The sequence below is a fragment of the Homo sapiens genome, chromosome 6 (assembly GCF_000001405.40).
Source record: "Homo sapiens chromosome 6, GRCh38.p14 Primary Assembly".
NCBI lineage: Eukaryota > Metazoa > Chordata > Mammalia > Primates > Hominidae > Homo > Homo sapiens.
In genome coordinates this window covers 112,213,117-112,230,800 of record NC_000006.12, presented here as the reverse complement: position 1 = coordinate 112,230,800, position 17,684 = coordinate 112,213,117, and the positions used below count along the sequence as shown (strand labels likewise).

General features: G+C 38.5%; 1 protein-coding gene across 9 annotated transcripts in view, besides 1 other annotated feature; it reads left to right on the top strand.

Moving 5' to 3' along the window:
* LAMA4 (laminin subunit alpha 4) overlaps positions 1 to 17,684 on the top strand; it is a 147,055-nt gene that overhangs the window by 24,185 nt on the left and 105,186 nt on the right. For all 9 annotated transcript variants that reach the window (XM_047418770.1, XM_047418769.1, XM_017010854.3 and 6 more), the window contains exon 3: positions 14,332 to 14,433. In XM_047418770.1, the coding sequence (XP_047274726.1) occupies positions 14,332 to 14,433 (102 nt within the window). The remainder of the gene's footprint in view (positions 1 to 14,331; positions 14,434 to 17,684) is intronic.
* Positions 15,679 to 16,180: an enhancer, noted in NCBI's record as "NANOG hESC enhancer chr6:112535822-112536323 (GRCh37/hg19 assembly coordinates)". NCBI's record gives its function as "activates a minimal SCP1, AML or CMV promoter by ChIP-STARR-seq in naive H9 embryonic stem cells {active_cell/tissue: H9 hESC(naive)}" and the evidence as "EXISTENCE:reporter gene assay evidence [ECO:0000049][PMID:30033119]".

Below are 17,684 nucleotides of genomic sequence, written 5' to 3'. Positions count from 1 at the left end.
ATCTGCTCTATGAAGGCACTGAGGATTCAGCAACAAATCAGGTGAATCCAGTTTCTGTGCTCAGGGAGTTAAGTCTTCCAAGGAAGAAAGACAAGGAACTACTAACTTAAACATTGCTAAGCTGTGTGCCCTAAAGAAAAAAAGAATGGCAGCTCACTCAGGAGAACCAGTTAAAACAAATAACCCTGGTACAGACAAGTCCAAAAAGAAGAGAAGAAACTAATAGTTACAGAACAATTTCTATGCCTTTATATTGAACATTAAATGCATTAAATATTAGTTGATCCTCACAACCATTCTAGAAGGTAATAAGGTGAGCAGCCCCATTTTTTCAGAAAGGGAAACCAAAGCCTAGAGTTAAATAATCTGGGCAAGGTCACCCAGGTAGAGCTGGAACTGAAATACTGATGATCTCAGACTTTCTGCTGCCTCAGGCTGTCTCCAAAGGACTTAACTATAGGAAATTACATCCACTGCAAGGAACAGATTGCAGTGTGTCATGTCATGCCCATGGCAGATCAATCAGTTAGGTCTAGAGGCTGTGCTATCTTAAATGTAAGCACATTTGGAGGAGAAATTCATTCATTCACTCAACAAGCATTTACTGCACAGCTGCCAGGTGCATGGTGAACAAATGGGGACTGAACACAGACATACATGGACATTTCTTAAAATGGCAAAAAGTAGATTTATCATATCCTAGCCATTTTGTATGTAAATGCTAAAGAAGTAATACCTAAATGTGCATGTTCCTGGGGAAATAGAAGTAGTTACAGAGCTATTAGAAGCATAAGAAAAAAAAAAGGACAAAGAATTTTAAAGAAATTTGTTCCCCACATATGAAACGTTCTTGATTCTTTCATTTAACATTTAATTCACTACAATTGTATTGAGAAACCTATCAAAATTGACTAGTTGACATGGATCCCACCTTTGAATACAAACCCTTATCTATTTTGATTCTCTGAAAATATGCTCCATCAATTGAACAGGGGAAAATGTCATTTTGCTCAAGTTGTTATAAATTATGATAGAGGAATTATGATACGCGGAGTGAAATCCATCTTTCTTTAGATAGTGCAATCATCTTTCTTTAGATAGTGCAACTTCAATCCCCAGATGGATAGAATTCCATTTGTTAGCTCTGTTCAGTCTTCTACTAGCTATTCCAGAAATATGCCTTGTAAGAAGCACTTATGTCCATGCCGTTTCCTACCTATGGCCCCCAGTGAGACCATGCGAAATTTTGTTGTCACCACTAAATGAAGGCTTAGAATAGTTACAGCTAAAAAGACCTTTCCATTTCAACAAAGAACAATTATCTTGCAAGAGATGACTTCAAAGAGTTGAACTCAACTTTTTGAAATGGAAAGTTGAGTTCAGGATGTTGGAGGAGATAATGGGTGTTGGTATGGTTTTGGCTGTTTTCAGAGACTTTGCCTGAAGAAGGCTGAGGAGGATTAGGGTTATTTAAAGAGGAGGAGAGGAAAGCAAGGGAGATGGGCTGCTCTCCACCAACAAAGAAAGTGAGAAATGGGGCCATGAGGAAGACATGATTGAAAGAAGCTGAATATAAGTAAGCCTAAACTTTTGGCCTATTTCTAGCTCAGTCTATGAGCCACAGGGATTTCTGGTGTCGTATTTAATAATTTTCTAACAAAAGCTGACTGTGCTTTTATTTTAGGATTTAAAACCATCCTAGTTGGTAAATTAACATTTTTCAATGAGCCTTTGAAATTTGGTAAAGGCAACTTGATTATTTGAAAGAGTCCTTGACCTTGGACTGTCTGAGAAAGAAAGTGAATCAGGTATCACTTCGCACATCTGCTGGACCACTGAATAGTCCCCAGATCAAGAGCCAGCTGGTCTTTCCTACCACTGCTTGAGCACCCTGAGAACGAGGGTGTGCTGGTGACTCTGCACCTGTCCCCCCAGATCCAGAATCTGCCCCTGCCTCAAGAGACTGATGCCCAAAGGCTACAGCACACAAGCTCCCTTGCATTTCAGGGAAAGTAATAGGAGAAGGGAAAGTTGGGGCCATTCTGCTCCACTTCCTCTCTGCCTCAGCACGGCTGTTCAGGCAGAAGCCATGACTCCCAAGATGGCAGCTCCCGCCGGCAAGCTCCCCTCCTCCACAGTTCCAGCTTTCCCTGGCTTTGTGTAACAGGCTTTCTTTATCCCCTTGGGCCCTAGAGGGAGCAGATCTTTGCAAATTTTACTGTTTCTAGCTTTTATGGCCTCTCCATTCCTTGCTCCCTTAACCTGCCCACAATTCGGTAAACTCTAATTCTCTTCTTTCTCTTCATTTACACTCTCTTAGGTGAATTTTGATTATTCCTGCTGGGCCTGACTACCTCAGTGACAAGCCCCCTCCTGAAATTCATGGCTTTTTCCATTTCCTTTTGTCTAGAGGAAGCCTTCCCAAAAGCATCTACTACCATCTGCTTTAATTGACAAATTATTTTACCTTCACATAAAGGAAGAGATTATATAAAAAATTTTTAGCAAACTATAAGAACATAATCTAAATTCCGTAGTTCAGCTTCATTTGAATTATTGCACAATCTTCTCCTGGTTCCCCCATTTCAACTCCAGGCCAGCTGGACAGGGCAACCTTTGGCCTGAGCTTGTGGGTTACTCTTGTCATGTTCTGCCAATCTAAGGCCACAGATAGTTAGGGCTCCCATTATTAGCTCTCTTGATCCCTAAGGAAGCAAGACTGTCTGAGTTTGGGTCATAGATCCTTTCTTAGGACAGAAAACTGGCCTCTAAACCCTCTTACTTAAATTTTAATATTGTAATTTCTCAGTCAACTGGAAAATGAGAGTATTGTGCACTATTTTGAGGATCTTTTACCTCTGCCTTAAATAGTAAGGCCCAACTAGAATAAATAAGCACCGTAAAAGTCCTTTGAGTTGCACATGTAGCCTCGGACATGTAGCTTTACTGCTAGCATAAAATAATTAGTGGAAATCAGATTTAGTAGCCACTCAAATATTATAGAAGAACCTAAAGGCTGATGTATGCTTTAACTAAGACAGATATGTGTGAAATGTGCCACATGGGATGAGGCAGCTGCTAGCTGTAAGGTGAAAAACAAAGGAAGGACAAATTAAGTAAGGAATGTTATTTTGCTTATTTTTAAACTGTGTTAATAATAATGATACATAAAGTGAATAACCAGGAAGTTGGGGAAATTATACACAAGCGTCTCAATCTATTGTCAAGACCACATTAGTCACTTCCTAGAGATGATGTTTTAGAGATCTCACCGGGTATAGACATGGAAATCCTATATCCAGACAACCTAAGTAGGATCTTTTGTTTTCCTTTCTTTTCTTTTTCTTTCCTCATTTGCTCCTTTTCCTCTTTCTTTCATTCTTTCATGAGAACGTGTATGTCCTCCATGGATTTTAAGAAATAACATAGTCAGGCGGGGCACGGTGGTTCACCCCTGTAATCCCAGCACTTTGGGAGGCCGAGGCGGGTGGATCACGAGGTCAGGAGTTCAAGACCAGCCTGGCCAAGATGGTGAAACTCTGTCTCTACTAAAAATACAAAAATTAGCCTGGCATGGTGGCAGGTGCCTGTAATCCCAGCTACTCAGGAGGCTGAGACAGACAATTGCTTGAATCTGGAAGGCAGAGGTTGCGGTGAGCTGAGATCATGCCACTGCACTCCAGCCTGGGCAACAGAGCGAGACTCCGTCTCAATATAAATAAATAAATAAATAAATAAATAAATAAATAAATAAATAAAATAGTCGAAGCCCTGAGACTCTTTCTCAGTCTCATCCCCACTCCTTTACCCTTAACTGGCCTGATTTCTCAGATTCCTATTTCTTTCTTCATACTTTTCTTTATATATGTGTATCCCTACACAATATATTATTACATCATATTATTTTGCATGTTTTAAAATACAGTATAAACATCATACTGTTTCTCCTTTGCAACTGACTTTTTCCTCAATATTGTATTTAAAAGATTCATTTGTAGTTAGAGATATCTTCACTTGTGAAATTTGCCTAATTGCTCTCCAAAGTGTTGGCACAATTTGCCCTCACTTGCCTCATTCTTTACCAATTCAAACCCATTTTTCTGCTAGCATATTTTTGGCATTGACTTGCTATTTGCGAATGACTATGATAGGTGATGAGGACACAAAAATGAGTAAGACACTATCCCTGTTCTGAAGGAGTTCACAGTGATTTCAGGGAGGCAAGAGTATAAATTAAAATTTATAATGTCATGTTCCGTGTGCTCTGATGAAGTCTGTGCAAGGTGCCATGTGAGTGACTGAGTCTGAAAGTCTAGGGAAATAGTTCCCAGGTGAGATGAAGTAGGGAAAGACATCCCAGGCCTCTGTAGCGTATGTAATAGTATATGCAAAGGCAAGGCGGGCCAAAGCATGATATTCATGAGGGTTGTGGGGTATGTGATTGCATTAGAGCAGAGGGAGCCAAGGTTGATCCTAAAGAAATAGTTTAAGGTTGGATCCTTGTATGTCATGCTAAGGAATTTTACATATTCATGTAGGTAATGAATGAAGAGCCACTGAGAGGTTCAAAGTAGAAAAGTAGTACGATAAGAGTTTTTAATTAATTCTGGTAATGAAGAATGAACTGGAAGGAAGAACTTCTGGTGATGGAGAGAGTAGAGTGGAGAGAATTATAATTATCCGAGAGAGAAACACCAAGATCCTGAACTAAATAGTGGTATTGGGAACAAGGAGGAAGAATCTCCTTGGTAGTATTTCAGAGGCAGAGCATAAACTCTACAAGGCAGCAGCCTACAAAGGGAGGCAGGAGGTAGGAACAGCCTAACCCAGGAGGACGCAAGGGCATGCATTATGTGTAGAGAATTTAAAAACAACAATAAAACTTACTAAAACTCAGTCTGCTTTTTATTATCACCATGTGCCAGCAATTCTAAACAATGTCAATGACAAAATTATCCTCCCTGAGAACTCTTTTGTTGTTTAAGGTCTAAGCAGTTGCTGTGGTTACTGTTGAGTTTTGATAATATAACAAATATGTAAACTTCAAATTAGCACATTCCAATTTCTTAACCTTTAGTAAACATTGTTTACTACATTTGGAGAACTCCTAGTCCTACAGCCCACCCCAGCATAGGTAGGGGTATCAGTTTAGAGAGTAAGTTTATAACAGTTCAGAACTGTGTAAGGTCAATCTCACTTGAGACTCTAATCTCTGTGGTACTTCATATATCTGCATTTAAACCTCAGATTCGAAATAAACGATAATAGCACAGTGACTCTGAAAGGTAAGATAACTTGAGTGCTTACATTGTGTCATTCTATGTGCAAACCATCCTCTGATCCTTGAGGAATTCCCTCTTCTGGAAGTATTTCCAAAAATTACTTTAATGCAAAATACATTAATGTAATTTAAAAGTGTTAGCCCATTACCTTTTCTTTTTATGTTATATATTCTTTATCTTTAACTGAGACATAATATAAACATAATATAAGGAGAAAAAGAGATTTGGGAGAGGCTATGATAAAGTCAGTGTGGGACACACTCAACTTCAGGTGCCTATAAAATTGGAGATGGGCTTGTCTAACAAGCACTTAGAAACAAGGGGGTGGCATAAAAAACTAAGATCAGGGATATGTAGAGAGACTTAGGAATTACCAAAATATAGCTGGAGGATAAAATTGGGGGAGGGATTAACATCATCCACAAATTTCATCCATACATAAAAGTGTATAGATAGAAAAGAGGGCTAAGGAGGTTACCCTGGAGAACACCAGCAATGTAGAAGCAGCAGAAGATGAACCACTTGCTTCTGCCCCTTCCCCGTCCCCTGCCAAAAAAAAATTAAATTAAAAAAAAAAAAACTGAGAAAGAAAGGTAGGCAGGGGAAAAGCCAGAAGAAAGAGTTGTCCTGGAAATCAGGAGAAGAGAGAACTTCAAGGAGGGAAGAAATTTCAAAAATGTTTGCTTTTTTTTTTTTTTTTTTTTTGAGACAGTCTTGCTCTGTCGCCCAGGCTGGAGTGCAATGGCGCAAACTCGGCTCACTGCAACCTCCGCCTCCCGGATTCAAGTGATTCCCCTGCCTCAGCCTCCCAAGTAGCTGGGATTACAGGCAAACACCTCTACCACTGGCTAATTTTTATATTTTTAATAGAGTTGGGGTTTCACCATGTTGGCCAGGCTGGTCTCAAACTCCTTACCTCAAGTGATCTACCTGCCTCAGCCTCCCAAAGTGCTGGGATTACAGGCGTGAGCCACCGCACCCAGCCATCAACAATGTTAAGTACTGGAATTCCATCTTTGTGAGGGCAATTTCAGTGTGCAATGGAAGCAGAGCCAGACGATGGATGGAGGCATGGATCAGCATAGCATGAAGGAAGCAGAGCCAGTGCGATTAAGTTCTCACTCAAGATCTGCTGGACAAGAAGAAGGAAATAAAGGGGAGGCAGACAATAAAGGGGAGGGAGGATATTCTTGGATATATACCCAAGGGAGGGATATATGTATAAAAGGGAGGGAGGATATTCTTGGATAATAAAGGGGAGGGAGGATATTCTTGGAGGATAATAAAGGGGAGGGAGGATATTCTTGGATCTGAGCCCAGGTAAAGATGTCAAGGCTCATCCAACACAGGTTGAAGCACCTAAGTGTTCTCTTTGCCTCCCCTCATCCCTGTGGATGTGAAAGTGCATGGTATGTGAGAGGAAGGCCAGATGATGGGGCCAGGTGTGATGGCCAGAGATGCGTGGATCCCAGAGCACAGATAGAAGGCTTCTCTTTCCTATAGTGAAAAGAGTACTGCTTCTGAGATGGGCAGAGGACACAAGGATGAGTCAAGACAAAGGGGAATTTAGAAAAAAAAGACAGTATGAGATTTCCCACCCAATAGCCTCTGTGTTTTCACTAAAGAAGCAGGATTAGCTGCTGAGAGTAAGAGGGTACAATAGAAGTTTGGGATACATTTATTTTTTCCTATTAATTCACAATAGCATTTCTTCAGTGATGCAAAAACCTGTGAGGAAGAGCAAAAGGAAGGAAAGACATGTCCTGCCAGTCACTTTCACTTTGTGCCTTGCATCTTGAGAAATCTAGGGTGAGAATAGCACTGAAATACCCACAGGACCTCAAGACAGAAGCAGGGTCATCTACCAGCAATGGACGCTGATGAAACAACCCAACTGCCTTCCCTGAGTACACTGAAGAGAAGCTGTTGTCATTTATAGACAGTTCATCCTCCAAACTTCTTATAAAAAGAAAAGTAATTTAGGCAGACTTTTGCAAGACTGTAGGTCATTAAATGGTAATGATCAAACTGGATCATCCATAAAAAGCACTTAGCTCAGTGCTTGGTGTCTGTCAGTAAATTATTAGCTGTGATTTATAAAAACCAGATGAAGATGACAGAGATGTCTTTCACCTCACAACATTGATTCCTTCTAAGTAGCTAAGGAGTCAAATCAAAATCCCCTAAATGCCTATAATTCTGAAGTCCTTTCTCTCTACTCATTCTTATTGCTAACCCTTGTGTGCCGCATCTCTTCCTTTCTTGGAAATGTGTCCAAGGCATTTGCCCCAGTAAATTAAATAAAACTGAGTCAGTTTTCAGATGTAAAAAAAAAAATCTGGCAGCATCAGAGGCTATGTTGTGTAACCATAGCTTGGAAGGCGAGGAGTGAAAAGAACAAGCCAGTTACAGGAGGTGATGTGAGATGAACCCAGAGCAGAAAGCCAGATGTTAGCAGGAGATTTATTTCTAGAAAAACCAAAGGAAAAAAGGCAGCACTGAAGCCTCGTTATGTTATATAAGCAACAATCTCTACTATAAACAAGTGACTTGACAATTACTTTAAATAATTTTCAAGAAGCAAATTAAAGAAATGTTCATTAGTATTAATAAATACAATCATCCTCAAACCCAACATTTCTAAAAGAAAACCTGTACGGCTGTAGGGGCTGTGGATTTTCTTAGTTTATTGTTTCAATTAGACAAATAAAGAGGGCTATTTATTAGCAAGCGTAGCAAGTACTTCAACACACGCCAAGGCTGTTGGTATCTACAGTCCAAATAGTTGATGAACAGGGTTCAGGGACTGTTATTTGAGAGCTGTGAGTGGAGCACTGGTTTCCACCCATGAAGCCCATGAAGAGTGCTGAGGAGTAGCCACAGAAATGTGATGTAAACATGTGATAACCCTGTCTCCACTCTTTACAAAATTAAAGGACTTGGCTTAAGAGTGGTTAGGATGGCTCTGTGCTCCTTGGAATTCCTCAGGCTCTAAGTCACAGTCTCTATTTTATTGATGGTTAAATTGAGAACTGGAGTGTTTTGTAAGCTGAGCAAGGCATGGCGGATATGGGGCCTGAGCAGTAAGCACAAAGGTAACTCTCTAGGCCAAGTAGGGGAAACCAGCACCATAGTCTGTGTTTGGTTTTTGGCCTAGCTTTATTATGCCAACCTAAGAAAAAAATGCCTTTGAACTGCATAAACCTCCGAAGAATGTTGAAACCACTTTCCTAATTGAGTTATGGTGAAATCGCTGTCAAAATCTAAAAATTAACTTTGCCTATTAAAATGTGGGGAATTTCAATTATGCAAACAAGAGCTTAGAGATACCCAAGGGAGGATGCGTGAGTAATTGTCTTCAGATTCAAGTAAAATCAATCAAGAAGCCAACTTCTTGGTAACTGCAACACATAATCCATTTAGCTCATTTTGGCACTTTATAGGTTTGTGCACTAAAAATCAGGACATGTTAAGCCTGATCTGAAAAACATATGGAGCCAAAAGTTAGCAAAAGCTTAAATTCAGAACTGCTTGCCATTTCAGATATTCCATATTTTATTTTTACTGACACAGAAAAAAATGGCTTGTGAAATACCTACTCATTTAATATATTCATATGTTCTCAGAAGTCATTCCTCCTTAGAAAAGGGTGGAATATTTTGGAAATTTTTGAATAGATTAAATCATGTTTTTCTCCACTAGAAAATCCTTGAATACTATCTGATTCTTAAGTCTGCCCAAGTTTTAGGCAGATGGAAGTCAGCATTGTGCAGAAACCACAGACTCTTAAGTAAGGGCACACAGTTTTAGCTCCTAACTGAGCATAACATTCTATCTTAAGCTGACTTTTATTATTTGCTAAAACAAAACATGGAACTCACTATAACTAAACTGGAACTAAAAATCATTGTTGTCTGGAAACAAGAGAAAAGTGGATTCATCAAATACATACAAAAACCTAAGCAGAAAGATAATGTAATGTGGGCTGTTAAATTTGAAGAAGACTAATTTGGATGGTAGCAATGATTCTGAACACCAGTGAATGAATTTAGAGGGATTTTGGGTTTGTTTTTGTTTTTATCCTTTCTATTTGGAGCCTCAATAAACTGAAGCAAAAGTTGTTGAATCAAATTCTAAGTCTAATTCAGAAAGGAAGATGAGTTGAGTCAATATATGTCATATGTTCGTAGATCTTTGGTTGGAAACACAATGCAAATAACTATTCCAATCAGCTCCTATGAGAATAGACACTAGGGCTGTAGAGTGTGTTCTTTCTGATGGAATTTTGTTATAATTAATTCTTCATCATTCGCTGGAGCTGGAGACTTGGGTCTGATCCTCTTTGGGACTCAGAAACCTCAGAATTTATCTCATACTCTCCGATGACAACTTCAAACTCTTCCTAAATCCCATCAAGTTTTGCCATTGTTGGTTTGTTTAAATGGGTAATTAGGGACCTTAGATCCCTAGAAGATCTATTCGAGTATGTAAGTGATTTAATAAATCAGGCTTCTCAACAGAAATTCTGAAGTTCTCTGAGATTCTGTATCTATGCAAAAGTAGTGGCTTGTGGGCAATTAATTAGCTCCTCTGTGATAGTGTTTGGGAAACGGTGAGATTTTTGTGAAAATTTTTTAACTAAAATTTTGTTACTTAGATTGGTACCCACTTTATTTAATAACTGCAAATGACTTAAAAGTTTGCCATAGCCAAAGCATGCATACTGGACTATCCTTCAAAAGAAAGTGATTTAAATATTTTTAGAAAATGTTTAAAATGTTATATCCAATGACAGTATTGTTGGTATGACTCTAGTGCTCTCAAGGGGCTCTTCAAATGAAGACAAAAATAATCAGATACTCGTATAAAGGTCATTCACTTGGTCCTCTTTGTTAAACAATCTTAATTCATTATAACTATATCTTATGAAATAAATAATATTATGATCATATGATAAACCTCTGGAAATAATTCCTTCTGCAGTGATAACAACATGTCCTGTCATCCCAGTTCCTTTAAATGTAATTGACACATGTAGATACACCACACTCATTTCCTCATAAAGTTACATCTAGTTCTCATTTCCATAAATGTAAAATTAGGCAAGTACACATACAATGATTTTACTCCAAGCCAGACCTCATACTAAATATAACAAAGTAAGCAAATGGGAATTTTCACTCTTATTTTTCAAAGGCAGAAGTAAATGGTATGGATTAATTCAGTCTTAATGGTAGAGCAGGAGGCAAGCTGTGATAATAGGAGTCTCTTAATAATAAAGAGCTGTAAAAGATCTACAAGTAACTTAGTGGAAGGTAATTGGTCAAAGAGAAAATTTGGCTAAAATAAATATTTTTAAAAGTCAATATCCCATTCAATGGTTTTCATATATTAATAACTATGTATTTTTAAGTATTGTGTCTATTAGCAAAGATTTTTTTCTGGGATTTAAAGGAGGCATTTTACATTTTTTATCCATTTCAGCCTGCTTTGAAATGTTAATAGCAGCAAAAATTTGGAAATAACCTAAATGTCCAACAAGAAATGTTTGGTTCAATATATTAATGGCACGCAAGATGGTTAAGAGCTAAAACTTGAGGGAAAAAATGAAGGATCTAAATCCTGGGTCCACCATTTCTTATCTGTATTAGCCGGCTTCAGTAATACATCTCTGTAAGTCACAAAGTCCTCACCAGTAAAACAAAGACAAGGGAACCTACCTCATAGGGCTACTGTGGTGTCAAGTGAGAGAATTGTGCAACATAACTGACACAGTGACTTAAACATGGTAGATATTCATGTTCAATTAAATAAACTTTAGGTATGTATTTATTTATGAGGGGCAGCAAGTTATAGCAAAGAAAGAACAAGATTTGGATCAGTCTGAACTCTTGGAGTTGTATGACATTGCTGGCCACTATATTATAATTATCATCATCATTATCCTTGTTATTACTATCAATTTTTAAAAAGGCCATGGCACCCCAGAAGGTACAGATCCTCTGAATGCTAAGATTGTGTTTTTACAGTTGTCTAGTATAGGACAGGCTTCTCATGTGGAAAAGAGGATTCAGTGTGGTATCAAAAAATTGATTGGAAGGCTTCCTCTCTTACTCTCTCATACATAGACATTCACAAACACCATCTTTGTTTAGTAAACTGTGGAGACTCTTCCAAAAGAAAATAGACACTAATTTTTGGAGAATCCATTCAGCTTTCACAGGCCTCTAAATAGCACAGGTGTTAGAATTACTAAGGATAACGATTACATTAACCAGGAGCAAAACTAAAAATACATCGTTCTACTTTCATACTTGGAAATATCGGCCTTTTGATATTACAAAAAGGCCAATTTTGCCAGGTCCTTCGAAATTTCAAAGAAAGATTCAGTAAAAATAAATAAATAACAGGACTCACTGGAGCCATGATGAAATATTTCCACCTAAAGGAAACAATCTTTAACAGCTCATCCTTCAGTACACTCAAACTTCTCTTGAACCACTTAAAAACTCCATTCCAGGGAGTCCTCCAAAGTTCCACAACACCAGACGCAAGCTACCCAGGACATGTGCTCTAGCAGGGCATGCCCAGGGCCCCCAGATAGATGACTGAAAAATATAATTCTTTCAGGTGGACAAGGCCCAGCAGGAACGTAGTGTGCCAGGTTTCCCTGCCAGCCCTCCTCGCCCTCTCGGCGGGGGGCCAAATGACTCAACACAGCCCTGTTCGTACCTCCCTTTTCTTCCCATCTCCCACATTATAAGAGATCAGAGCCAAGTTATCCTTCACCCAAGGTCATAATCTCAGATTGGGGAGTGGTAAGTGGATAATGACAGGCTCTCACAGTGAACTCTCCTCCTAAACTTGGCACATCACAAAGATTTCATCTTGCATGCTGTCCAACCTAGGCACTGGCTGCTGGACTGTTGACAAAGAGTTGAGATGAAATCCACCCTTAGGAGAGAGCAGTGGATGGATTATCAGTATATTCTGTGGGCTCCCAATAGTATATATGTCTCCAGTTTGCTGTCCTTGTCCAAACCACCCAAATCACCAAGAGTTCATTGAGCAATTAATATATACAAGGCATTGTGAGAGATGCTTCCAAACCTGGCCAAATATCAGAGTCTTTGGGGAGCTTTTTAAAAATGCAGATCCTTCACAATTTTTCTGTAAATCTAAAGTTATTCTAAAACACAAAAGTTATTTTTTAAAATGCAGATCCTTTGGTTTCACTGAATCAGAAGCTCCCCAGAAGACTGTAATATGGTCATTTAGAGAGCTCAGAAACCACCATTTAAGAGGCTACTAAGATAACTAATATTAAGACCGTCACTACTCTTACCCACTACTCTTATAAAGAAAACCCTGCAGTCATGCAAAACTGCAACACATTCATGGGTCATCAGATCAATTTTATGGGTCATGACCAGGATATACTCTTAAATACAATAGAGAAGTTTTAGGTACATTATTACTTTGTGAATCTTTTCTCTGAGACACATATATATGGATATCTATATCTATCTCCATATCTACACCAATATAGATATAGATACCAATCTGTGTACTGCATCACAATGAAAACATGTATGTTTTACTTTGCGGCAAAGACTAAAAATGTGAAATTAAATGGTCTAAATTAAATGCTTCCTACTGCAATCTTAGTGTCTTCCCTCTCTTGTTTTCTAGTGGAAACTAAGAAGCTTACCATCAACCACAACTCTCCATTAAAAAATTATAAATTGATCTTCTCTTAGCCTTATTTCTCTAACTTGGAAATGTGGAATTTCCTTGCCTTTTTTTCATAGACAAATGTTGTTATTCTTTATTAAACTTCCTCCAAATGGGGTTTATTAAATTTTAGTTTTAAAGTGTGAACTGATGTGTGTGTTTTTTTTTAAATACTGTGAATGGTGTTTAGTGACTCTTTCTTTACAGAGTAAAAAGCAAGGGGAAATAGGTTTGCATAGCAATCAGAGGGACTTCAGCCAGATATAATGAAAATTTCCTGGTCGCCAGGGAAGTGCAAACTACAATGGGTCAATGGGGGTGTATGATGTGAAATCTTGGACTCTGTAAGTCTGTGGAAACAAAGCAGATTCTTATCTGTCTGGAATTCTTTAGACATAAACTTGTCTGATGGGCGGGGAGCGGATTTCCAGGCCCATAATGCCATTTCTGCCCTTCATCACTGAGACATTCCAAAGAAATATCAAATGCATATCCACAGCCTAATCACATAAACCAGGAACAATCTCATAATGTGTCTCAAATGGCACACTAATGATATCTGGGGAGGGCAGCTGATGATTGTGCAGGTCAATTGGTGCATGACAGGATAGTTTAACATCCCCAAAAGCCACTTAGCACCTCTCAATCTCATGAGCTCATCACTAGGATAAGGGAAAGTCATGTGTTCCTCGCAGCATTCTGAAGACAAATGAAATACATATATGAACAGCACCCACACAGGACTTGACAAGTGTAAGAACTCATTAACTTCCTTATCCCTCCCTTTAACATGTTAGCATCTGAAGAAACAGATGCTTTTAAGAACTGAAGTTCATGAAAGACTCAGTTGCTATCCTATAGCTAAGTTGCTCTCCTATAGCTAGTGATTGCTGAAACGAGAAGTCTTTCTTTATTTATAGGGAGCATGACCTCACCCTGACTAATACTTAATTGTGGTCTTGTTTTGTTTTGCTTATACTGGAAGAAAACATTAGCATTTTTTTCTCCCTTACTGTTACGTAATACCTTCTTATTCTTCCTTGCAATGATAAGACAGTGTTAAAGGCATTTCTGTTCTCCTGAAAAGTGAAAGGAGGGAAAAAGTTATGTAACAAAGAAGATTATATATACATCATCTATCACTGAATGGTAGTATAAATAGTTTATTTTAGTATGTTTTGTATGTATCATTTAGTATATTCATTTTAGAAATGTTTAGATTGTTTAATAATCACTTTCTCTGATTTCTTCTCAGAAAATATTGACCAAAATCAATCTTTTCAATAATCAAAATGGTTTGGTGTGTCTGTTGCAGAAATGCAATGCTGGATTCTTTCACACCCTGTCGGGAGAATGTGTGCCCTGCGACTGTAATGGCAATTCCAACGAGTGTTTGGACGGCTCAGGATACTGTGTGGTAAGTTGGGGCACCTATAACACTTCACGTACTTCACTGGGCATTTGCATCTTGGGTGAAGATAAAATATTTTTCGGATGTTTGAGCCACATAGGAGCAAACTGCTAATCAAGTGCTTTTGTTCACCCTTCAGCTTTTCCTGTGAAACAACTCATATAAACTACTTCTGATTTTAAGGGTCCACCAAGGCATATGCATGAGTGTGCACGTGCACCCGGAGGCTCCTGCCCCACCACCCTCAGCAGCTGGTTGCCTGCTGTAGACCAATGGCGGTGGGATTGAAAATGATACATAGAGGAGGAACCCATACATCCAAATTCCTCTGTAATCGTATAGTTTGCCATATGTTTGGCTTCGTTCCACATAAACCAGGAGAATGAAACAGTTGTTGCCTAGCCTATTTTAGAACCTAAAATAACCAGGTCTATAGATCAAAATTAGTTTTTAAAAAAGAAATTTAAGTTTGAACCCAATAGCTGATGAAAATGAAAGCTTTGCCCTTGTGGTCTTTGCAAGTCTGTGTTTAAGCCCCCAGGAGACTATTTTTTTCCTTAACTGAAATGAATTCTCCAATAGACTGTTCTTCATTGAAGCATGATAGAGCCTTGTGCGAAAGATTGAGAAGTCTTCCAGCAGAAAAGTACTTGCTACATATTTCCCATTTTTAATGAATGGACTGACAACTTAAGTGAAAATGGGTGTTGAAATATTTACCAGAAGTGGCTTCAGTGGAAGTCATAGAGGGCATTTATAAGAACTTATGCTCAAATAGCATGTTTTCCTTCGTGAGCTGTGTGATACAGCAGAAAAATTCTTCAAGTTCCCATCTGGCAAAAAGAGGTTTTCCAAAACTACAAGAGTATTTTTGCATAAACTATAAGAATACTTATTTAAATGCACTCAACATTTGCATAATTGTCCCTATTAGATAATTTTTATTTTAAATGGCCTCTTAGGTGTGTACATGAAAGTGATATTTTATTCACACATTAAGATGCAAATGCAAATGTTTTTATTGATCTTTAACCCTAGAAGTTGCCATTTTTCTAGGGACAGAGAATTAAGTGACAAAATACTAATGTTGCTATCTCTTTGTAGTGTTTATTTAGTCCTGATATTTGTTTTCCCTTCCCCCATCTTCTTAAATAAGCATTACAACCAGGATGTCCTCTGTCACAGTGTAGGCTTCTGCAGCTGCCAAAGTCTACTCCTTTCTAATGCTTCCATCTCCGGTTTCCTGTTATTTTAATCCCAGTGACATTTGGGGGGAAAAATCCCATGGATACACTTGAACTAATAACGTACATCTCTGATAATTTGACCAATTAAAGGTTGTTTGTTATCTGATTTATTAAAATATAAAGCAGTGGAGACTGTCAAGCACATCAGCTGCTGTTAGGCAGTCAATATTATGCAAGACTGAGATAAATTAAAGAGGGAAGAAGTCCCTCCTGCTAGAGTCTATTGAAAGAAATGACTAAGCCACTCTTTTTACAATGACATTGTCAGAATGGGAGCAATCATGGCTTTATCTCTGACCTAGTGGTGAGAGGAACAAACATCATGTGATTCCCTCCAAGGTCCTGTGACATAACAGGTTCTAATAAATGTTTAGGGATGGGCTAGCATATACACATTTACATGTGCACTCAGTGAAGCTGCCAACATTCCTCCAACTACTTTGTTCCAACGCAGAAAATGAATACAAAAAGAAATAGCCATTTTATTCATCTTAATGATGGTTTCTCCACCTCATCCTGTCCGGAGAAAAATATCTTTTTTCCCTCATTAATGTAATATATGTTCAGTGTAAGAAAACAGACCAAAAATATAGATACATTAGTATAATTTTCCTATTAAACAGATTATTTTAATTATAAATGGCTTGAAGTACAAAGTAAAAATCACCCACATTCCTATCCCCCAGAGCGACACATATAGATATATTCTTATAAATTTAATTTAGAAAGAAAGAAGATATAGTGGCTAGGGATGGTGGCTCACACCTGTAATCCCAGCACTTTGGGAGGCCAAGGCAGGAGGATCACTTGAGTTTAGGAGTTCAAGACCAGCCTGGGCAACATAATGAGATCCCATCTGTACAATAAACAAACAAAAGAAAAAAAGAAAAAAGATATATTTATATTTAATTAAATGTAAGTGAAGGGGCAGAAAATGCTTGCACATGAATATAAAAAGAATTTTTTATTTCACTTAGTTGCAAATATGTTAAGTCTGTGGTGTCACACTGGAATCAAACTCATTTTTTTCTGTTTCCTTTGGTGCCGCTATCCCAGACTACTGACGGAGAAGACCCAGGTTTTTCAGCTTCTGCCCTATCGTTCATTCTCAGCTCTCAGGGAGCCAGAGAAGCCAGGGCTCCAACATGAACACTTCTTGTAGCTCACTGTCATGACCAGTGTTTCAGTCAGTTCTTGCAGGTTGCCTGACTTACCTCATTTCTCTCATTTCCTGTAAGCAACCAAAAATAAAAGGCTTTCTTTTATTTCATTTTGTCTTATTTTGCTTTTATCTTGAAGGCATATAAGACCTCTGTATCTGCCTTGTTCACCTTCAACTGCTTCTAATTCTTCCTCAATTCCAGTGTCCAATGTCAATTTGAAATTAAAATTTACAGACTGATTTTAACTAAGCTGTTGGTAAAGCTGACCTAAGCCATTCAGCCACAAAATATAGAGTATACAAAATTATGCTACCATTTTACACATATCAAGCAAGCAAAGAGATTTTTTTTTACTGGTGGAACACTAATCTTTCAAATATAGAATAGTGGCTAAATGAAAATAAAACAGCTTAGAAATCTACTATGTTTTGAGTGTCTTTCCAATGGGCCACTTTGCATCTTATGAGAACTGGAACACATTGGACAGGATTCTCAGCTGAGTCAGCTCGGTGGGGCCCCAAAGGCAGGCAACTCTGGTGGATATGGCTGGCTCTCTATAAAGGTACTAGAAGGAGGCACAAGATAAAAATTGAGGGGAAAAAACAAGTGGAAGCAGATAGGTGGCTGGTGGCAGAAATGCCTGGTCACAGATAATCCATATTTCATCCCAGCCCTAGAGGCTTAAGTACATAGAACCCAGAAGGAGCTCTAACTAAGGTTAGTTACCATCTAAAGAATGGGTGCTTTGTCATTAGGAGAAAGCCAGGAGCCCAATGACCAGAACTAGAATGGGACAAACCTGACCTGAAGTTCACCACAGGCACAGGGCTCCTCATTTTCCTTTTGA